Raw genomic sequence first — 22,165 nt, forward strand, 5'->3', positions numbered from 1 at the left:
GACAGGGGCTAGTCCATGATTTTTTTTTTTTTTTTTTTTTTTTTTTGAGACAGAGTCTCACTCTGTCACCCAGGCTAGAGTGCAGTGACATAATCTCAGCTCACTGCAACCTCTGCCTCATGGGTTCAAGCAGTTCTCCTGCCTCAGTCTCCCGAGTAGCTGGGATTACAGGCATATGCCACCAAGCCCCCATTTTTTTTTTTTTTTTTGAGATGGAGTCTCGCTGTCTCAGGTCTACCCTGTTGCCCAGGGTAGAGTGCAGTGGCATGATCTCTGCTCACTGGAACGTCCGCCTCCCAGGTTCAAGTGATTCTCCTGCCTCAGCCTCCTGAGTAGCGGGAATTTTAGGTGTGCACCACCACACCCAGCTAATTTTTGTATTTTTAGTAGAGTCGGGGTTTCACCGTGTTCGTCAGGCTGGTCTCGAACTCCTGACCTCGGATCCACCCGCCTTGGCCCCCCTAAATGCTGGTATTACAGGTGTGAGCCACTGTGCCCGGCCTCCTTTAGTGATTTTAAACCATAATCTCTTTCCATGACCTGCCACTGCATCCCTGCCCCGCACTCAAGGAGGCACAGCCCTCCGAGGATGCCTGTTTCCCAGGCAGGCAAATTGAGCACGTCCGCCCAGGCAAGGACTTGAGCAACGCTGTCCTTGCACTCATCCCCCAGACACATGGGTCCTGCACTCTCAAATGTGAATGAATGGGACACCACATGGCACGGGGAGACAGAATTCGTTTATTGGGATCACTGGGTGGAGGTGGAGGAAGAACTGAGTGGCTGCTGTCCTGGTCTGGGGATGGATCAGGCACCAAGGTTAGGGGAGGGAGCCCATCACCATGTTAGTAAAATAATAAAACAGTGGTTGGACAGAGGGAAGACCCACTGCCTGGGATGAGGCTGCTCTGAGGCAAGAGGTGTACGTATCCTACCTGGCCCAACACACGCACTTCCCCACTGGCTCCTTGGCCCGTGTCAGCGAAGGGAGCGCGGGACGGTGGGGGAGGCGGAGCGGTAGCAGCGGTACCCCTCCAGTGCCGCTGGCAGGAGCAGCAGGCCGCTCAGGGGGTCTTTGCGGCAGCGGCCCATGGCCTCCTTGTAGCTCAGCCGTTCCTTGGAGATGGGGTCTGTCAAATCCTTCTCGTAGCTGGACTCGTCCTGCAGGAGCTGGGCCAGCTCTTCACTGATCATCCCGGAGAGGAGGGCCTGCTGGATGGGGATGCGGCCTGTCCTCTTGGGGTCGATGAGCCCCCCGGTCAGGTGCTGCACCTGCAGGTGTGGGAGCACGCTCTCCCGGGGCATCCAGCCCTTCTGGACGGCCTCGCCCACCGAGAGCCTCTTCTTGGTGACGGGGTCCTCGATGCCGGTGAAGGCCTTCTGGGCGTTAAGCAGCCTCTGTGTGGAGGTGTTCTCGATCAGGCCCCTCTCCATCGCCTTGTGCACAGAGTAGCGCTCACGGCTGAGCAGGTCCACGATGCCCCCTGTGGCCGCCTGGGCCTCCAGTAGCTTCTGCCCAGTGATGGGGTCCAGCATGTTCTTGGCCACGGCCGTCTTGATGCTGCACTTGTTGTCTGTGGTTGTGTCATAGATCCCGGCGATAGGGAAGCTGTCATCACCGAGCCCGAGAGAGAAGCTGGGAGAGAAGAAACTGGTGCTCTGGGGGGCCGGGGAGGCGAGCGGGGACTTGGAGATGATAGAGCCGATGGAGAGTGAGGAGCTTGGCTTGGTCTCCCCAGCTACAAGCAGCGCAAACTCGGAGATGGGCAGGTGGCCGTCCTTGTACAGATGGTACTCCTCCTTAGAGATGCGCCGGCAGCGGAGGGCGGCCTCGATGGAGTACTGCTTCCCGCTCTTGCGGTCCAGGAGCACAGACTCCTCCCCACAGGGCCCCGAGGTGGTGACCTCCTCCCAGTCACACTCGAGCTCCTGCAGCTGCAAGTACTGGCCCCTGTCGATGATGCCCCTCTTGTAGGCCTCGTATGGGGACATGTCCTTCCCCGTCTCGGGTTCCAGGATGGAGATCTTGGTGGAAAGGTTGGTCTCTCGCGTCTGGGTCTCCTGGCTGAGCTCCTCCCGGCTCACCTTGGCGTGGAGGTCCCGGAGCGTCCGCTCCTTCTCGTAGATCTGGTCCTTCTCGCGGAGGATGGCCGCCTCCAGCCGCGAGAGCTCCTGGCCCCGCTGGGCCGCCTTCTGTCGCTCGCTCTCCGTCTTCTGGCTGAGCAGCTTCGACTCCTCCTGCAGCTGCAGTGTCTGCTGCTGCTTCTGCCTCTCCAGAGCCCGCAGCTCCTGCTGCAGCCGCCCACACTCCTGGTCGGCCTGGTCCCGGGCCCTCTGCAGCTCGGACTCCTCCCGGGACCAGGTTCTCCCCAGCGTCTCGGCCCGGTCAATGCGCTCCCGCAGGCGCCGTGCCTCCTCCTCCCGGGCCTGCCGGGCCGTGCGCTCCCTGTTGAGCATCTCCCACACGCGGGCCCGCTCATCTTCCAGGACGCGGTCCTTCTGCACCCGGATCACTTCCTTGTAGATGGTCTTCTCCTGCGATTTGGCTTTCTGGAGGACGTCAATCTGGACCTGCAGGTTCTTGCACTCCCGATTCAGCTCGGTTACCTGGGTCTTCTCCTGGTCCAGGTCCCACCGCAGGGCTTCCGTGGACTTCTCCAGGTCCGGGTCCTTCTCCAGCTTGACCACTTCCTCCATGATGATCTTCTCCTGCACCGTGGGAGGCCGCTTCTCGAGCTCCTGGATCCTCAAGGTCAGCTGCCGCAGCTCCCTCTCCACGGCCAGCTTCTTGCTGCGGTCCTCCTGGAAGCTGAGCAGGCCCTCCTGCTCCTCCACGCCGGCCCGCAGCTGCTGCACCTCAAGCTCTAGCTGGCGCCGCCGGCCCACCTCCTCATCCAGGCTCCCGCTCAGCCGGCTGTGCTCCTCGCGCAGCTTCGGGTCCTTCTGGGTGACCACCACCTCCTGCACCACCACCTTCTCCTCGGGCTTCCTCCTCTCCAGCAGCAGGCGCTTGCTCTGCAGCTCGTACACCGCGTCCTCCGCGGCCCGCCTCTTCTGGGCCGCCTCCCGCACCTCCTGGCGGAGCCGCTCTGCTTCTTTCTCCAGCACCGGGTCCTTCTCGTGGCGCACCACCTCCTTGCTCACCGTCTTGGTCTCCACCTTGGCCCGCTCGCGCCTCCACTCGTCGCGCTCACCCTGCAGGCGGATGAGCTGCTCCTGGGAGCGCCCGTGGCTGTTGACGAGCTCGTTGAGCTGAGCCTTCAGGCGGTCGATCTCACGCAGCACCTCGGGGCTCCTCTCATGCCTCACCACCTCCTGGGTCACCTCCTTGTACTCCACCGTGGGCTTCTGGGCCCGCAGGACCTCCAGGTCGGGCAGCAGCTTCTCCACCTCCTTCTCCACACCGCTCCTCTTGCCCGCCATCTCCTGCAGCTTGGCCTTGAGCCGAGTGATCTCCTGCTCTGTCTCCGGATCCACCTGGAAGATCTCGTGGACGCGCTCCTGGAGCTGCACTTTGGGCCTCTGCTTCTCCACCACGCTGTACTTGCTGTGCAGGTCGCTCAGCTCCCTGGCCAGCGTCGCGTTCTTGGTCCTCTCCTCCTCGAGGAGGCTCCTCAGCCTGGAGGACTCCTGGAGGAGCCCTGGGTCCTGCTCCACCTTCTTCACCTCCTTCACGATGACCTTGGGCTCCACCGAGCTGATAGCCCGCTCCAGGTCTTCGATGCGAGCCTGTAGCTTGGCCACAGCCTCCTCCGCCTGCTTCCTCCGCGCAGCATCCTCCTCCATCTGCAGCCTCAGAGCCTGGGCTGCCTTGACCATTTCCAGATTCTTCTCCACCTTGACTACCTCTTTCACCACGACCTTCTCCTTCACGTCCACCTCCCTCTTCTCAAGGGCCAGTAGCTCCTTCTTCAGCCCTTCCAGCCGGGCCGAGATGACGGCATCCTCCCCGCGGAGCTGCTGGATCTGGATCCTGAGCTGGGCCGCCTGGCTGTCCAGGCCGGGGTCCCTCTCCACCTGGGTGACCTCCTTGGTCAGCAGATGAGGCTGCATGGTCTTCCTCTTGCTTTCCAGCTGCACGACCTTCTGGGCTGCCACTTCCAGGTCTGCCTGCAGGCCAGCCCGCCGCTTGCCCTCCTCCTCCACCTGGGCCTTCACCCTGGACAGGCTGCCCTCCAGCTGGGGGTCCCGGTAGAACTCTACCACTTCCTTCTCCTCCAGCCTCTCCAAGGGCCGCTGGGTCCTCAGCTGCAGCAGTTGGCTCCTCTGCGCCTCCAGCTCATGCTGCACCCGGGCCACCCGCTTCCTCTCCTCTTCCAGCTGGGCCTTCAGGGCCTCTGACTCTCTCCCTGCTTGGGCAGGGCTCTCGGAGCCCTGCTTTGCATCATGGGTCCTTCGGATGTCCTCACTGAGCTCCTTCTGCAGAGAGGAAGAAGGGTAGAGCACGGGGTGGGCGGTAGAGATAGGAGCTCCATGTTTTTCCTGAGATGAAAGACCCCTCCCTGTTTCCTGAGACTCCCCAGTGGGTCCTCAGAGGTGGAGCTGAAGACCTAAGATGCTTGGATATAGGATTTTGAGAAGACCCAGTCAATGCAATGATTTTAGGACCCAAGGCAGTGCGCAGGCCTGGTTTGCATTAGAAAGTGCAAGTAAGGGCCAGGTGCAATGGCTGATGCCTTTAATCCCAACACTTTGGGAGGCCAAGGTGGGCGGATCACCTGAGGTCAGGAGTTCGAGACCAGCCTGATCAACATAGTGAAACCCCATCTCTACTAAAAATCCAAAAAATTAGCTGGGCGTGGTGACGCATGCCTGTAATCCCAGTTACTCAGGAGGCCGAGGCAGGAGAATCGCTTGAACCAGGGAGGCGGAGGTTGCAGTGAGCTGAGATTGTGCCACTGCACTCCAGCCTTGGTGATAGAGCGAGACTCCGTCTCAAAAAAAACAAAAAACAAAAAAAAAGTGCAAACAGGACAGGTTCTCCCTGTCCCTCCAGAACCTCTCCCTTTTCCCCTTCCATCCAGGGACCCTGACTGTGGCCGAGGGTAACAGAAAAGCTGGCAAGTCACCAGGAGTCCTGGAGAAGTTCTGGCTTGAGGGTGTGTAGGCCGAAGGTGGAGAGCCAGGTGGCTGAGGGTGAAGCTCTAGGGGATTTTCTCTGCTCTCTGGGGTTAGAGGTCTTGTCCCATTGGAGGATGCCCAGTGGCCATGAATGCCATCTCCAGGGCCTAACCCTGGGATGGACACCAGCCTGTAAGAGCTGCTGGAGAGAAAACTGGGTGGCTGGAATCCGCTCCCCTCTCCAGCAGCCAGAGCTGCCCAGGGGCTGCAGGCAGGAGGGAGAGGAGGGAAGGAGACTACCAGGGTGACAGCCTGGCATTTTGGGAATGGAGTGGGCATTCCTGGTTATTCCTGGCTATTGTGGGAAAGCTGTAGGTGTTGTCTGTGTACCTTCTCCAGCATTTTTCTAGCAAACTCCAGCTGCTGGAGCAGCTGCTGCTGTGCTGCTGCAACCTCAGTATAGGCCTTTGCAAGGTTCTTCTCCTGGAGAAGGCAGAGGGAGAGGGGAAGGGCAGAGTCAGCTCCTGCCTTGGACCCTACAGAGCTGGTGTCAAGGTCCACTGAGCCCCGCAAGGTCCCATCTCACCTGGGCTTGGATGCTCTCTTGCAGGGGAGCCACTCGGGGTCTCTTGGGGGCTGACACTGCCAGGGTGGGCTCCAAAGAGCAGCGGTAGGTGTCTGCCTGGAGCTCATAGTCCTGAGCAGGGAGGAAAGGACAGCAGGCTGGCAACCAGTGGGGGAGGCTGGGTGTGGGGGATAGGGCTGGAAGAGGGACAAGGGTGATGCATGGAGAGGGGCAAGCTGAAGGCAAGCTGCTTACCTGGAGCGCTGCCTGCAGGGCCTGGGAGAGGTGGGATGCTGTGGCCCTGTCCCGCTCTCGGCTCTGGATCTCCTGCGTCAGCCTCTGCCAGGGAAGAACCCAGAGTCAGGAGGCCAGGAAATGCCAATCACCCTGACTCTCCTCTAGCCAGTGCCTCCAGGGCCACAGTCAGGCAGAGCTGCCTCCCAGGGACAAGAAAGGGCAGGGAGGGAGACCTGGGCCAAACTCCCTCCTTTCCCTGACATCATTCTCTCTGCTTTTCCTCCTTCCTCTCCGAGGCACCTTGGCAGAATCCCTTTCTTTCCTTTTTTTTTTTTTTGAGACCAAGTCTCACTCTGTCACCCAGGTTGGAGTGCGTGATCTCGGCTCACAGCAGCCTCCTGGGTTCAAGCGATTTTCATGCCTCAGCTTCCTGAGTAGCTGGAATGACAGGTGCCTGCCACCATGCCAGGCTAATTTTTATATTTTTAGTAGAGATGGGGTTTCGCCATGTTGGCAAGGCTGGTCTCGAACTCCTGACCTCAGGTGATCCGCCAGCCTCGGCCTCCCAAAGTGCTGGGATTACAGGCATGAGCCACCTTTCTTTGGCCTTGTGCCCCTCAGAGTTCCGTTCTAGCACAGTAGTATCTGCGAGCATCACCTGGGGCCTGTGGGAGGCAGGCAGGCATGCAGGGCCCACCTGCACATCAGATCCAGCAGGTCCGGGTGGCCCTGAGAATTCATATTTCTTTCTTTTCTTTTTTTTTTTTTTTTTTTTGAGACGGAGTCTTGCTCTGTCGCCCAGGCTGGAGTGCAGTGGCGCTATCCGGACTCACTGCAAGCTCCGCCTCCTGGATTCACACCATTCTCCTGCCTCAGCCTCTCGAGTAGCCGGGACTACAGGTGCCCAGCACCGTGCCCGGCTAATTTTTTGTATTTTTAGTAGAGATGGGGTTTCACCGTGTTAGCCAGGATGGTCTCGATCTCCTGACCTTGTGATCCGCCCGCCTTGGCCTCCCAAAGTGCTGGGATTACAGGCGTGAGCCACCGCGCCCGGCCTGAGAATTCATATTTCTGATAAGTCCCCAGGTGATGCTGCTACAGCTCATCCAGAACCATGGCTCCAATTGGAAAGTTCTCAATACGGGATGCCCACTTTTATTCACCTGGGAACTTAATATACTGATGCTCTGACCACAATAATCCAACTTATTTGGTCTGGGGAGGGGTCCTGGCCTGGGGATGTTTTAAAAGCTCTCTGGGAGATTCTAGTTTGCAGCCAGGGCTGAGAATCTCTGTCCCAGGCCCCCTTCCCAATGTCACCTCCCTACTCTCTCCCCAGATATTCTCATTTTCCGGCAGTCCCAGACCCATCTTTGCTCTCACGAGCTCCTAGGGGAACCCCCAGCCCCAGTTCCCTCCCATATGCCTACGTCCACCTCCCCGCTGCCCTCGGCTGTCCTGGCCACCTCATTTCAGCATGACCCAGCCGGCCCCATTCCTCTCCCCAAATATGCTCTGTTTCCTGTGTTCCCGCCTCAAGTGGAGGTGCCCCCTCTTCCCAGTTGTCCCCAACAGAACCCTGGGCATCACCGGGCCCCGTCCATCTCACTCACTGTCCCCTTCAAGCAGTCACCAAGTCCACCTAATTCTGCCATCTCCATCTCAGATCTGCCCACCTCGCCCTGTGCCATGGTCCCTTCCCCGGCCAGGCCACCACTCTCTCTCCGCTGGATTTCCACCCTGGCTCCTCGTGGGCCTCCGTGTCTTCATTCCCACCCTCTTAGTCATTCTCTACATGGCAGCCAGAGCCAGCTTCTAAACACTGGCCTGGAAGCATCCCCTCCCCAGCAGCTTCTGGGGGCTGCAGGAGAGAGTGCAGCCTGGGTCCTGTGCCGGAAGGGCCTGTGTGGTCTGCCCATCTGGTCGCCCTCGCCCCTGAGTCCCCCTCCTTTCCCCTGACTGCCATGCCTTCTGCATGGGACATTTCATCCCTCCCCCGGCTACACTTGCTTCCTCCCACACTACCGATCCTGACCCGCAAGTGTGTCCAGCCTGGGGGCACCCACAGCACTCCAGCTTCTCCCACCAATGCTTGTCGGCATCACAGACCTCCCCCACCAGGCTGGGAGCTGCCAGGGTGCAGGGTTGTACCCCAGTGAACACATTGCCTGGTACATGGCAGGGGCTTGATGAGCATGAGAAAGTGGCCGGAACCCTCAGGGCTCTGTGGCCTGAGCTTGTAAATCCCACTGCCCCAGTCGGGCCAGACAGAGATGGGCTGGCCCCGTCTGTGGGCAAAGAGGAGCATTTCAGCTGGAGGCCAGGGAAGGGGCCCAGGGCCTCCGTGGCCTGGGCTTTGAAGCCCCTTAGAGCGCTTCTGAGCTTTGGCCACTAGGGGGCCACATGGGCACAGGCAGCTGTCCCTGCCCCAGCCTCACCTTCTGCGCCTGCAGCTTGTAGGCGATCTGGCTGGGGCCGTCGCTGGGCCGCACCTGGCTGCGGGGCAGGTGCTCCAGCCAGGAGCTCAGGTTATCCTTGCAGTTCTTGAACTGCTGGTAGGTGAGGGCGGCATCCTGCACCACCTTCTCCCTGCAGGAGGACGAGGCCCAGAACAGAGATAAGACCTGCCCCGTGGGGACAGGGGCAGGTGCACAGGGAGGCTGATGGGAGCCTCCTCCTGGGGGCAGGTCAGGAGGCCCGAGTGGCCTGCTGTGCAGATCCCCACTCCCTGACCCTGGGAATTCAGAGATGGGACAGTCTCTACCAGGCACCACCCTGGGAGGTAAGTGCTGTTGTTATCCCATTTTAGAGATGAGGAAACAGCTTCAGAGACGTGAAGTCACTAGCCCAGGATCACACAGCTTGTAGACAGCAATGCCTGGCTCTGCACCAGCCCACACCCTGTGCCCCGAGGACCCAGTCGCTCACCGCAGGTCCAGCTGGTCCCCTACGGCGTGGTAGCGGTCGGTGAGGGCTCGCACCTGGCGCTGCTGGCGAGGCAGGTCTTGGCAGAACTCCTGGAAGTTGTTCTGCAGGGCAGCGCATGCGTGCTCCGAGGCCTTCAGCGCGCGGTGTAGCCGCAGCACGCAGGTCTGCTGTTCCAGCAGCTCCCTCCGCTGGCGCTGCAGGAGGAGGGGACGCAGCCGTGCACCCTCGTGGCTGGGGAGACGCCGTGTCCACCCACCCGCCCCTGAATGCTGGGTTCCCCTGACACCAGGAGGCCCCGGCTGGTCCCTTACCTGCAGCTCGCTGACCCTCTCCTGCAGAGCCCCCGGTTCAGCAGGGATGGGGGCCTCCTGCACCAGGGTGGCCTCGAAGCCTCGGATGACCCTGTCCGCATCCTGGATCTGCCGCTCCAGATCCAGGGCAGCCTTGGCTCTGCCGCAGAGGAGGCAAGGCTCAGACACTCCCTGGGCCACACGCTGCTGCCCTGCGTGGCTGCCCTGTCCCCAGAGCACTCACTTCTCCCCGTAGAGGCTGCACAGAACCTGCACGTCACTGAACTTGTTCTTCACGCTGTTGAGGGCTACGGGCAGCTGCAGGGCAGCGGGGCCCACGGGCCGCGTGGACAGAAACGCCTCGCACTCCTTCTGGGCTGTCTCCTTCTCCGTTCCCAGGCTCTGCAGGCGCTGGGCTGTGCCCTAAAGAGGGGCGGGGTCAGGGATCTCTGGGCAGGTGGGTTCCGCCCGACTCTTCTACCAGGATACCCTAACTCTGCGCCCATGGAGGCAGTAGAGTGTGGTGGGTACATGCTTGGGCTCAGGCCAGAGAACTGCGTTCAGTCCTGGCGCTACTCGTTCCTCTGTGGATGACCTGGGGCAGAGCAAACTGTCTGACCCTCAGTCTCCTCATCTACAAAATGACTGATAGGAGGGGCCGGGCGCAGTGGCTCACACCTGTAATCCTAGCACTTTGGGAGGCCAAGGCGGGTGGGTTGCTTGAGGTCAGGAGATCGAGACCAGCCTGGCCAACATGGCGAAACCCTGTCTCTACTAAAAATACAAAAATTAGCCGGCCGTAGCAGCGCGCACCTGCAATCCCAGCTACCCAGGAGGCTGAGGCAGGAGAATTGCTTGAACCCCAGGAGGTGGGGGTTGCAGCAAGCTGAGATCACACCGCTGCACTCCAGCCTGGCAGACAAGAGCAAGACTCCATCTCAAAAAAATAAAATAAATAAAAAAGAATGATTGATGGGAGGATGACACAAGAGCCTGTGTCCTGAGCTCAGCAGTGAGCGCCAGGCACAGTTACCTACAGTCATCTTCATGTCACTGTCCTGCTCACAAGACCATCAGGTCCCCTGGCCCTGTCGCTCCAGCCAAAGCCCTGGCTCTGCCCACTAGGGACTGTTGCCCTCATTCTTTCATCAGTTATTCACTCATCTGCCTGGTCCATCACCGAGCAGTGCTGACTCTGCACCAGGCACCACCCACCGCCCAGTCTAACTGGGCTTCTCCTGGACCCCAACACCGCTGATGTGGCAGATGCTATGACTTCAAAACCTAAGGACCCAGCTTCTTGGGAGGTGAAGACAGGGGGATTGTTTGAGACCAGGAGGTTGAGGCTACAGTGAGCCTTGATCATGCCACTGGCCCTCCAGCCTGGGCAACAAAGCAAGACCCCGTCTCAAAATAATAATAATATGGCCAAGTGCAGTAGCTCATGCCTGTAATCCTAGCACTTTGGGAGGCCAATGCGGGAGGATCGCTTGAGCTCAGGAGTTTGAGACCAGCCTGGGCAACATGGCAAAACCCCATCTCTACCAAAAAAATTAGCTGGGCTCAGTGTTGTACCTGTGGTCCCAACTACTCGGGAGGCTGAGGTGGGAGGATCACTCAAGCCTGGGAGGTGGAGGTTGCAGTGAGCTGAGATTATACCATTGCACACCACTGCACTCCAGCCTGGGTGACAAAGTGAGACCCCATCTCATAAAACAAAAAACAGACCAGGTGCGGTGGCTCACGCCTGTAATCCCAGCACTCTGGGAGGCCGAGATGGGTGGATCACTTAAGGTCAGGAGTTCGACATCAGCCTGGCCAACATGGTGAAACCCCATCTCTACTAAAAATACAAAAATTAGTTGGGCATGGTGGTGTGTGCCTGTAATCCCAGCTACTCCGGAGGTTGAGGCAGGAGAATTGCTTGAACCTGGGAGGCAGAAGTTGCAGTGAGCCAAGATCGTGCCACTGCACTCCAGCCTGGGTGATGCAGAGAGACTTTGTCTCAAGAAAAGAAAAGAAACTGGTTTGGAAGGATAACCCAGACTGCGGCCCGGTGTGGGTTTCACTCTGAGCACTTTTGGGAGTGTTGAGTCCACGTGCTGTTCTTGGGTAAGGAGTTTACACAATGCTGCAACCTCCCCAGGTAGGCTCCCCCTTGCAGCCAGGGGACATCTCTTCCTAAGATTCTCCAGGCTTCCTTGCTATTTCAGGAGCTTCACCAGAATACCTCCTGGGGTGTTGACATTGGGCCCTACTGGAACCTTCCTGAATGATCAGGCGAGCTGGGCATTATTACATCTGCTTCAGGGATGAGGAAACCAAGGCCCAGAGAGTTATGTAGTCCAAGATCCTGGAGCTGGTCAGTGGAGGAGCCAGGAGGGGAACCAGCTTGTCTGAGCCCGGGTCTGTCCACACCCTTCTCCATCTCCATCCCAGCCACCGCTCCTGCACTTGCCTCACCTCCCTCAAGTGTGAGCACCAGGGCCGGGCCGCTTCTCATCCCAGCCGCCCCTTCCCGCTGCTCACCCACCTCATGGCTGTGGATGCGGCCCTCCAAGTCCTCCAAGGGTGTGGGGCGGCTCAGCGGGGCCCGCGCCCAGGCCAGCACCTGCCTCTCTATCTGTCCCAGGTCTCCATCCAGCCGGGTCATCTGTGTCAGGAGCTTCTGGGCCTGTGGGTTGGCCAGGTCTGAGCCAGATGGAGCTGGGGGCAGAGGTGCTGGTGAGGGCCCAGGGCCTATCTCCAGACTGCCAGATAGGTGCCCCCACCAGGTGCCCACAGAGGGTCCTGTCGGGGTAGGGTGGAGGGGATGGGCAGGGCCACCCCAGAGATGAAATCCCCAGAGTGATGGTCCCTAACCCAAGGCGACCCCTGCCCATCACAGACCAGTCGGAAGTCGGAATCTACTCCTTCTAGCCCCACAGCCACCTCTCCCCGGGCCACCCTGGGTACCCTGCTGGCTGGGCCGAAGAGACTCCACAGCACTGGCCTTCAGGCGGCTCTGGACTGTGGCCAATTTCTGCTTCAGGGCCTGCAGCTCTGAGGCCAGCCTAGAATGAAGAGGAGATTGAAGAAAGAGGTCCCCACTCTGCCTCTCTCCCTCCCCAGCCCCAGTAGACGCAGCTTCAGGTGAAGGCCAGCCTTTGAGCAGGGGTCTGTTGGGCCATGGGCTTGGACACCGCAGGGCCGGCCTGCTCTGCCCACAGCCTGCCCCTGAGTATCCCTACACAGACCTACCGGGAGGCCCTGGCCACAGCATCAGGGTCTGGTGCTGGGATGCAGAAGCAGGCGGCGGGAGCACGCTTGGTCTCCCCGCCAGGGCCCTGCACGACCCAGGCGTGCGGGTCAGTGTTATCTACCAGCTTATACCGCTCACCCTGCAGCAGCTGCACCTGGGGGCACAGAAAGGGAGCAGCTCCTGAGGGCTCAGGGGCAGGGGGCCAAGGCCAGGGCAGAGTAGGGGCTGGGGACAGAGACAAATGGGGACAGCAGCTGGAACAGGGACAAGAGTAGGGTGGGAGGTGCTGGGGTAGAAAAGAGGCAGGACAGGACTTGGAGAGAGGAGGGTCTGAGTCAAGGGAAGGAGTAGGGCAAAAGTGGGCGCAGGAGACAGCTGGGGATGGAGCAGGGATGGGCTTGGGCAGGGGCAGGGGATGGGTTGGGCGGGGCTGGATGGTGGCAGGGGTGAGGTGGGGGAGTTCGCACTTCTCCTGAGTCCCAGTCGCAGATGCTGTCCACGTGCAGGGGCTGCTGAGGGGGGTTTCTTCGCTGTGGCAGAGGGGCCACATCCCGGCTTCGCCGCTGCAGGTCCCCAGTGGCCCTCTCGGTGACGGCCAGCCGTTTTTCCTCTGCCTGCCGGGGGCCCAGGCAGTGGGGGACTCAGGCCAGGCTGCATTGGAGGCTGGCCACACCATACCTGTCCTTCAAAAGGCCTAGAGGCTGGCCTTCATGAAGGCAGGGGTCTCTAAGTCAGCAAAGTAAAAGGAGCCCCTCTCTGGGGGACCTAGGATCCTGGGATCTGCTAGTTGCAGGGAGGGGGATGGCACAGCATCACCCAGGCCACCAAGCAGAAGCTAGACAGGCCTCAGAGCTCTCCCAGGCTGCCCTTGTCCCACTGCAAATGAGGAAACTGACGTCCAGAAGTGGGAGGAGCTTGCTGGTACCTGGCCAGCCTCCTGCTAGAGTAAACCCCCCTGCCAGCACCCAGGCCAGGGCTTGGGATAGGACTAGGTACCAAGGCAGAAGGGGTGAGGCCCAGAAAAATGGACAGGACCAATTCCCAGAAGTGGGGTGCAGACGGCCTGGTGGGGTTGTCTCACCTCCAGCTGTTGCAGCAGCTCTGTGGGGGCGCCAGGGGGGCCCCCAGGTGCAGGGCTGTACTTGGCATCCAAGTTGGAGTTGAGCTTCGCCAGGGTCTGGCTGACTGAGTCGGCCTCTTCCTGGAACTGAGTTCACTGGGTGGTCAAGGGCAGAGCCTCGTGCAACCTGCTGCCCACTGACCCTACAAACCAGCTGAACCTAAGCCAGCTAAACACAAAGCAGCTAAACCTAAACCAGCTAAACACAAACCAGCTAAACACAAACCAGATAAATGTGAAACAGCTAAACTAAACCAGTAACCGCTAAGCCAGCTAAACCTAAACCAACTAAACACAAATCAGCTAAACCTAAACCAGAAAAACCTAAGCCAGGTAAACCTAAACCAGCTAAACTTAAACCAGCTAAATCTAAACCAGCTAAACACAAACCACCTAAACCGAAACCAGCTAAACCTAAACCAGCCAAACACAAACCAGATAAACCTAAACCAGCTAAACCTAAACCAGCTAAACACAAACCAGATAAACTTAAACCAGATAAACCTAAACCAGCTAAACCTAAACCAGCTAAACACAAACCAGATAAACTTAAACCAGATAAACCTAAACCAGCTAAACACAAACCAGATAAACTTAAACCAGATAAACCTAAACCAGCTAAACTTAAACCAGCTAAACCTAAACTGTCACTCTCCCCTACTCTGGTCGGTCTTTCTTTTTCCTACCCAGGCGGCAGGACCTTTTATCACTGGTGTGCTCTTGCAAATGGGGTCTTATTTGTGCACTGAACTTAATTTTTTTAAGTGGGTCATAAAACACTTGGTCTTCGTCCTTCCTGCACAAATGAAGGGCACCGTCACCTGCCTCCCTCCAGCACCTGAAGTCTTTCTTGCTGGGACAGAGGGTATTGGAGCTGCACTTGTCCCAGCCCCGGAGAAGAAGCTGTGCTTTAAAGAAGCATTCCAGGTGCTTTGACGGAATTTTTGTCAACGTGTGTGATCACAGTCTTGTGGTTCTATAGGAAAATGTATGAAACATTATCTGCCCCCAAATCCCAGTTGCATATTATATCAGGGTTTCTCAACCGTTTTTTTTTTCATTATTATTCTCCTAAAGAGCCTTTTAAGAAATATTTTATTTAATTTCCCCCCACCTCATCCCCATAAAATTTTATTTATTTATTTATTTTGATAGAGATGTATCTATTTGTATAGAGACAGGGTCTTGCTATGTTGCCCAGGCTGGTCTGGAACTACTGGTGTCAAGCAATTCTCCTGGCTCGGCTTCCCAAAGTGCTGGAATTACAGATGTGAGCCACCACACCTGGCCCCCACGAAATTTTAATACCACAGATATGCTGTATACAGCTTAGGTGCTGTATGTGGATCTGGACTTCATGCATAAAAAGAGTTAAGATATTTTTCTGCCAGTAAGAACCAATTTTCACCCCCCTGGGAACCGCTTCACCCTGTTGAGAATGTGCCCATGCCTTTCTTTCCCTCTGGGACCGAGTGGCAACCACACAGCTCTATTTTATTTTATTTTTGAGGTGGAGTCTCTCTCTGTCACCCAGGCTGGAGTGCAGTGGACCAATCTCGGCCCACTGCAACCTCCGCCTCCTGGGTTCAAGCGATTCTCCTGCCTCAGCCTCCTGAGTAGCTCGGATTACAGGCGCGTGCCACCACATCTGGCTAATTTTGGTATTTTTAGTAGAGACAGGGTTTCACCATGTTGGCCAGGCTGATCTCGAACTCCTGACCTCAAGTGATCCACCAGCCTCGGCCTCCCAAAGTGCTGGGATTACAGGTGTGAGCCACCGCGCCCTGCCAGCTCTGTCTAGTTGGGAGGTGCAGTGCCTCTCCTGTGGGCAGGGGTGCTGTGCTCCCGCCCCTGCCGCCCCTGCCGCCCCTGCCGCCCCTGCCGCCTGCCCGAGGGCTCACCCGGCGGTAGTCCTCCACGTGCTGCAGCTGGGTCTCCTGGCAGATACACAGGTTCAGGAAGTTCTGCCACTCCATCTTCAGGGCCTCCTGGTGGGCCTGGGTACGGCAGCATGGAGCCCTCGGACCACGCCCCCCCCACGTCCGCCCCACCTCCCCCCTTCCCCGCCCACCACGTCCCTTCTCACTCTCGCCCTGCCCCAGCGCACCTGGATGGGCCCCACCGCGGGGTGCCGCAGCTCCACCATGCGCTCGCCGTCGTCCTCCAGCTGGTTCACGCTCTGCTCCTGGCTCAGCAGCTCGTGCTGCTTGAAGTGCTGGGGGCGAGTCGGGTGGGGAGCGGCGGTGAGGACCCGGATGGCCCTGGCCGCCCCCACCTGGCCCCGACCTCTGCCAGCCGACCTCGTACTCCCGCCGCACGCCCGCAGGGTCGGCCATGAGGTCGCTCCAGTCCTGCTGCAGGATGCGGCGCTGCTGCTCAGCCAGGGCGCTCAGCTGCCGCGTGCAGCCCTGGAGGTGCGTGTACAGGCTGCCCAGGCTCTGCCCGCGCCACGACGCCGCCTTCTGTGCTCAGGACCCGCCGCCAGCAGCAGGGTGGGGAGACAGAAAGTGGGGGGCAAAAGGCGCCATTGGGCCGCGCTCAGGAACACTGGCCCCGGGCAGGGTCCGGGCGGCCACCCAGGCCCACCCGCAGCCTCCCTGCCCGACCCTCCCTCCTGCTCACCAGTAGGTCTCGGTATTGGCTCCGGATGGTGGCTGCATCCTGCCTCGACCAAGGGGAGAAACAAGCCCGTGAGAGGTGGGGTGCAGGGAGACGGCCCCCTAAGATCTGGGCCAGCCATACCCCACCCACCCCTATCCCCAGGGCCCAGCCGATCTAGCTCCGGCTCTGACTGGAGAAACGGGCTGGGGCTGGCCCCGGATGTGACATCCTCCAGGCTCACCTACCGGCCCCACGAGGCTCCGCAGCTGCTGCCCATAGGCGTCGATCTCCTTCTGCAGGATGTTGTGCTCGGCGATCTGTTGCTCCAGCTCCGCCATGCCCGGCCCGTACTGGCCTGCGCAGACCTGCTTCTGCAGGAGAGCCGGCGGCTCAGTCCCCAAAGGACCGCGGTGGGGAGCCAGAGAACCCCACACGCCTCCCACCCGGAGAAGTGGACTTGGTCATTTGGGCAGAGCGTGGACGAGCCTGGGAGCAGCCCGGGTGCATGCCCTGCAGCTCCCCCAGGGGCGAGGCCATTCTGCAGTGGCCCCTGAGTCCCACTGGTTCCCAGACGCTGGGCTCAGCCTCTAAGAAGTCTCCAGCTCCATCCTGCCTTGTCTGTGACCCAGCCTCAGTGCTTCCTGCCTGGACACCACCAGCCAAGCTCTAGGGCCCTCAGAATGCCCTGCTCCAGCCGGGCCCTTCCCCACTGTCCCTCTATTGTCATGATGACACCCCTTCTGTGTGGCATCAAAGCACAACTCCTCAACCAGGGATCAGAATGTCCCATGACCTGGCTCTGCCCACCTGCCCAGAAATCCCCACTTCCCGTCGAAGCCCAGGCTTCCTCCTGGCAGGAACCTTTGCTCCTTCTTTCTGGAATTGTCCTCTCCTCACTACTTCACCCTGGCCCAACTGAGCCCTCTCACCCCTCTGAGGTCTCTTCATGTACCTCCTCCTGCAGGAAGTCTTCCCTGACTGCACTGTCTACTCTGCTGTCTCTCTGCCCAGACCCCTGAGCCACCCCTACACCCTGACTATTCAAGCCTGCAGTCAGGCCCTGGATTAAATGCAGTTCCGTATCGCCCTCTGATCACACTGGGGTGTGACTTTGAGTTCCTGACCTGTTTCTGCTCCAGCACGCGTGCCCAGTCGACCCTGGGTCCCACGTCGGGGGGCAGCACCATCTTCTCGTACAGGGCACGGTACTCCGCACACTCCTGGGTCACCCGCTCGTGCAGCTGCTTGATGCTGTCAAGAAGGTGGCCGGCAGGTCAGGGCTGGACCTGGGTCTTCCCCAGGGACCCCCAGCCCTGCCGCAGCTCCACTCACTCCTTCTCAATCTCCTCAGCCTGCGGGTGCTTGAGCCGCCGGGCCTTGTCCACGTCCAGGAAGAGGTCCTTGAGCAGCACCTCAGCCTCCTTCAGGCTGCGGCCCGTCTCCTGCTGGTGCTGCAGGGCCTGGCTCTGCTCACTGTTCAGCCGGTCCTGTGGGCAGGAGATGGGCAGACTGGCCAGGGCCCAGAGCCCCCACACCCCTGCTGCCCATCACTGTGGGCCTGAGCCCCAACTTTGGGACCCCAGCTATGCTAGCCAACCTTGAGGCCCACGCCAGGCACAGGGTCAGGACCAGGGCGTCCGTGGGGCAGGTGACAAGGACACAGGGGAGCCCAGAAAAGAAGGAAGCTGAGCCCTCTCTCCCACCGTGTGTTAGGGGATGGGCGGTGCAGGACAAAGGTCATCTGTCCCATCTTCACCATCACCAAGGGGCACTCAGGGAGTGCCAGGCCTGATGATGGGCCTCCCATGCCACCCAGCCTGTCCACGCCCTGCCAACTGCTGCCGGGGCCTCACCTGCTGCAGCCTCTTCTGCGTCTCCAGGATGTCCCGCTCCACCTGGTCGGCGTTGGCTTGCATGCGGGAGATGAGAAGGGCCAGCTCCTGGGTGGCAGCCCTAGTGTGTGGAGGGGACAGCGGGTAGCTCGGTGGAAGAGGCCCCTCTGTGCCCCATCCAGGTGGCATCCCCTGCCCTCCCTCCACCCCATCCTGCCCCCACAGCCTAGCTCACTGCCCTGACTTTGGGGTCTCTCTCTGCAGAAGGCTCTGTGAGCTAGTCCTGGTTGGGGGTGTTAGCACTGCCCCGCCACATGAGGGGTCAAAAGGTGAGGGTCTCAGGTTTGTGTGGTGCTGGGGAGGGGGCAGGCGGCCTCGGTGTCCCAGCCTTAGCCAGCTGTGCTGGCAGTGAGTTCCCGACCCCACCTAGCTACCTGCCACTTCCCTCCCCGAGCCAGTGAATCACCGGCTCAGCCACTAGCACCTGAGCCAGCCTGGCTGGGCCCTGGGAGGGGTAGTTGGGCTGGCTGGGGCAGGGAGGCAGCAGCATGTCCCCCATCCCCACCTCCTCGCACTCCAGCCCTGTGTTCCCCTATACCTCCTCCACCCCAGGGAGCCTTGCCAGCATGCTGGCTTCAGTAGCCATCTAGAGGAGCCTCACACTGTCGGAGCCGGGGAGGTGGGGCAGGCGCAAGAGACTACTGGGCACCCTAACATTCTCCAGAGTTGAGGGTTCAAAGCCCAGATTGGGCTCTGACTTGCTCTGAGTCACATGGTCAGGGGTGGAGGGGAAACCTTGCTTCCACCCCAGGGCTTTTTCTGTGCATTCGCCCTGCAGCCTCCATAGAGCACCTGCTGTGTGCATGCACTCACTGTGCGGAGGTCACAAGGTCAAGCAGACCTAAAAGAGGGCAGATTGGTCCAAGCCTTATGAGCACAGTGCCTTATGGGGGATCATTATGCTGGGGCAGGAGAAGCCTTGAACTGGGTCAAAGGATGGGCCCCCCCAGGCAAAGGGACAGTGCTGGTGAAGGCACAGCAGTCTGGAAGAACTCTGTGGCCAAGACACCCTGGTTTCATCTTTCTCCATCAGAAAGATGATGGACTTGACCTTGGTCAAGTTACTCAACCTCTCTGTGCCTGAGGTTCCTCACTTGTAAAGCGGGATTTTAATAAAAATATCTATGCCTTAGGGCTATTGTGAGCATTAATTGAATTTATCCATCTGAAACGTCCAGTGCAGGCCTGGTGCAGGGTCGGCACCCAGCACGTGTTAGTTTTTATCCCATTAGAGGGCTAGTGCCTTGAAGGCAGGGGCTTGTTGGTTCTGTCTACAGTGACATCTCCAGTGCCTAGAACAGTCCTGGCATACAGTAAGTGCTCAGTAAGTTCATGTCAAACGAGTGGATCGCACGTGAGGGGAGAGCCAACAGGGCCCTGAGGACGGAGCTGCCCCAGGCCAGGAGCGCACTGCTGGGGAGCCTGCCTGGACAGTGGGAGCTGCAGGTGCTGGGCCCTGGGCGCCCCTCCTCAGGTCCCGCCTCCTGGGATGGCTGCTCCCACCGGGAGCTGCACACTCCACCCTGGGTGGGGCTCAGGTGCCCCAGGGAGGACAGGTCACTCAGCGAGAGTGTTAGCTGAGAGTCTTAACCACTGTCTTTCCCGTCCGCCCAGACACCCAGCCTCGGTGTCTGTTGGTGCCTTGATCCCTATCGGGGTAATGGGCACCCCCACTCCCACACCAGCCTTTCATCCCTGAGGTCATCTCGACACCCTGGACCCAGGCGGGCTGCTGCCTCCTCTGCAGACGAGCTGAAGCCAGTGAGTGGGAAGAACACCGCCCAATCCATCCACAGATTGCTGAGGCTGGGCTCCAGAGAGCCGGGTGGTCCAAGGGAGGCCCAGTGCCCCCTGCACCACACCCACTGGAAAAGGAAGCCCCAGCTCTATTTTGTTTTAACAGACAGGGTCTTGCTCTGTCACCCAGGCTAGAGGGCAGTGGAGTGATCACGGCTCACTGCAGCCTCGACTTCCCGGGCTCAAGTGATCCTCTCACCTCAGCCTCCCAAGTAGCTCTGACTACAGGCATGCGCCACTACATCCAGATAATTTTTGTATATTTTTTGTAGAGACGGGATTTCATCATGTTGCCCAGGCTGGTCTCGAACTCCCGGGCTCAAGTGATCTACCCGCCTCGGCCTCCCAAAGTTGTAGGATTGCAGGCGTGAGGTATTGCGCCAGGATTTTTTTTTTTTTTTTTTTTAAGACAGAGTCTCAGTCTGTCACCCAGGCGGGAGCGCAGGGGTGTGATCATGGCTCACTGCAGCCTCAAACTCCTGGGCTCAAGCAATAGGCACGAGCCACCATGCCTGGCTATTTTTTATTTTTATTTTTTTACAGAAACAAGATCTCCCTATGTTGTCCAGGCTGGTCTCGAGCTCCTGGGCTCAAGGAATCCTCCCGCATTGGCCTCCTGAAGTTCGGGGATTATAGGCGTGAGCCACGGCGCCCGGCCATGAACCCCTAACTCTTCAATACAACAAGGCCCTGGGTGAGAACTCTGGGGAGGGCTGTGGCTTAGGCAGGAGGCAGCACAGCCCCTGCATCCCTACCCCAGGGATCCCACCCCGTCCCCTCAGTCCTCATGCCCTGTACCCAGGCTCCAGGGGTCATCCCAGCCAAGTAGAGCCTTGGGGCAGAGCTGCAGTCAGGCAGCCAGGCTCTCCTGTCTCCCAGGCTCTCCTGTCTCCCAGGCTCTCCTGTCTCCCAGCCTCTGGCAGAGGAGGGCCTCCGTGCAGGCTCCTGTCCAGCACTTCTCCCGCGAAGCGGCCTCAATCCGTGGCCCTCAGGCCCCCTTAGAGGATGTAGGGAGCCCCAGGTCATCCCCTGCCTCCTGCCAGGGCTGAAGTTCGGCCTGGGCCTGCGGCTCCCAAGGCAGGGAGAGAGTCCATCCCTGGGCCCTTTGGCCTCAGGACACCAAATGCCAGCACGGGGCTGGTCCTGGGCTCTGGGCCGCCGCCGCCGCCAGGTGGCTCAAGGACCTGGGCCTGGCACCACCCCCACCCCAGTTCCCCGGCTCCCCATCCCCCAGTCCCACTTACCGGCTGTGCCTGCTGGGGGAGCCTTTGGGGGACCCCTTGGCGGGGGAGCCCTTGGGGGACCCCTTCCCCTGGGAGCCTTTGCTCAGCCCCTTGAACATGGTCGTAAAGGCAAGTGCTGGCTCAGGCTGGGCTTGGCTGGCGAAAGACGGCAGGAGGGCAGGTGGGAGGCAGCGGGCGTCCTCACTGGCTGGTCAGCTAAGTCTGGCGAGGTGGGGCGGCTGGGCACTGGGGAAGGGAGTTTCTGGGAGGCCCCTCCTTGCAGGTGAGGCAGCGGGCGGGCGGCCGGGTCCCAGGCCTGACGCGCATGCACCCACAACGGCCACACTCATGCCTCCTCCTGCACAACCAGTCTGGGAGGAAAGGGCACAGCCCTGAGGGCGGGGCCGAGCCTGCCCGACTCCCACAGAAGGTTTGGACTTGTTACACCCACATGCCTAGGGGAGCGCAGCGGCGATCACACCCAGATAGGGAAGGAGTTGGGCCAGGACAGACAGGGCTGGAGACAGACGTGCACATGCAGGTGCAGGCTCAGCGGAGAGGCCCCAGCCCCGGAGCTCAGGATTAATAAACACCTCCAGCCAGCTCAGAGGACCTGCTGCCAGGCAGGCCCCCACCCACAGCTCTCAATCCCCCAGGAGAGGAGGGGGTGTCCTGCCAGCCCAGGGCCTGACTCTCTGTTCTCCACTGACATGATGGGGCAGTCAGGGGACGTTCACTCCAGACAACTGGCACAAGGTCCATTTTTTTTTTTTTTAAGAGACAAAGTCTCGCTCTGTCACCCAGGCTGGAGTGCAATGGCATGATCTCGGCTCACTGCAACCTCTACCTCCCGGGTTCAAGCGATTCTCCTGCCTCAGCCTCCTGAGTAGCTGGGATTACAGGTGCCCGTCACCACGCCCAGAAAATTTTTGTATTTTTAGCAGAGAAGGGGCTTCACCATGTTGGCCAGGCTGGTCTCGAACTCCTGACCTCAAGTGATCCACCCGCCTCGGCCTCCCAAAATGCTGGGATCACAGGCATGAGCCACCACGCCTGGCCCCATTTTATAAAGTGTGCACAGTGCAGCAGCACCAGGGCTGGCTTCAGGCGCCAGTAAGCCTGGGCTCTGGCTGAGGCCCGGGAGCCTGATGCACTTGGCTTTTCCTACCTGCCTCTTCCCCCACCCAGAAATGGCCCCTGGTGGCTTTTA

The 22,165-nt window shown here is 59.7% G+C and overlaps 1 protein-coding gene across 2 annotated transcripts, besides 1 other annotated feature; it reads right to left on the reverse strand.

Moving 5' to 3' along the window:
* Nucleotides 721-21,182, reverse strand: EVPL (envoplakin). Of its 2 annotated transcripts, none has more exons than NM_001988.4 (22): nt 20,977-21,182; nt 17,897-17,996; nt 17,376-17,530; nt 17,168-17,294; nt 16,289-16,414; nt 16,065-16,103; nt 15,743-15,904; nt 15,550-15,657; nt 15,344-15,439; nt 13,404-13,529; nt 12,790-12,936; nt 12,322-12,476; nt 12,037-12,134; nt 11,615-11,787; nt 9,326-9,504; nt 9,103-9,241; nt 8,792-8,985; nt 8,302-8,452; nt 5,882-5,965; nt 5,648-5,758; nt 5,452-5,544; nt 721-4,419 (listed from the first exon to the last, which is right to left on the reverse strand). In NM_001988.4, exons 1-22 carry the CDS (start codon nt 21,072-21,074, stop codon nt 979-981), a joined length of 6,102 nt encoding a protein of 2,033 aa, NP_001979.2. In that variant the 5' UTR covers nt 21,075-21,182; the 3' UTR covers nt 721-978. The 2 variants fall into 2 exon arrangements, with proteins under 2 accessions (NP_001979.2, NP_001307676.1); NM_001320747.2 differs by having other exon boundaries at nt 11,971-12,134.
* Nucleotides 20,764-21,651: an enhancer, noted in NCBI's record as "H3K4me1 hESC enhancer chr17:74022969-74023856 (GRCh37/hg19 assembly coordinates)". NCBI's record gives its function as "activates a minimal SCP1, AML or CMV promoter by ChIP-STARR-seq in primed H9 embryonic stem cells {active_cell/tissue: H9 hESC(primed)}" and the evidence as "EXISTENCE:reporter gene assay evidence [ECO:0000049][PMID:30033119]".

Source organism: Homo sapiens, chromosome 17 (assembly GCF_000001405.40).
Source record: "Homo sapiens chromosome 17, GRCh38.p14 Primary Assembly".
Lineage (NCBI taxonomy): Eukaryota > Metazoa > Chordata > Mammalia > Primates > Hominidae > Homo > Homo sapiens.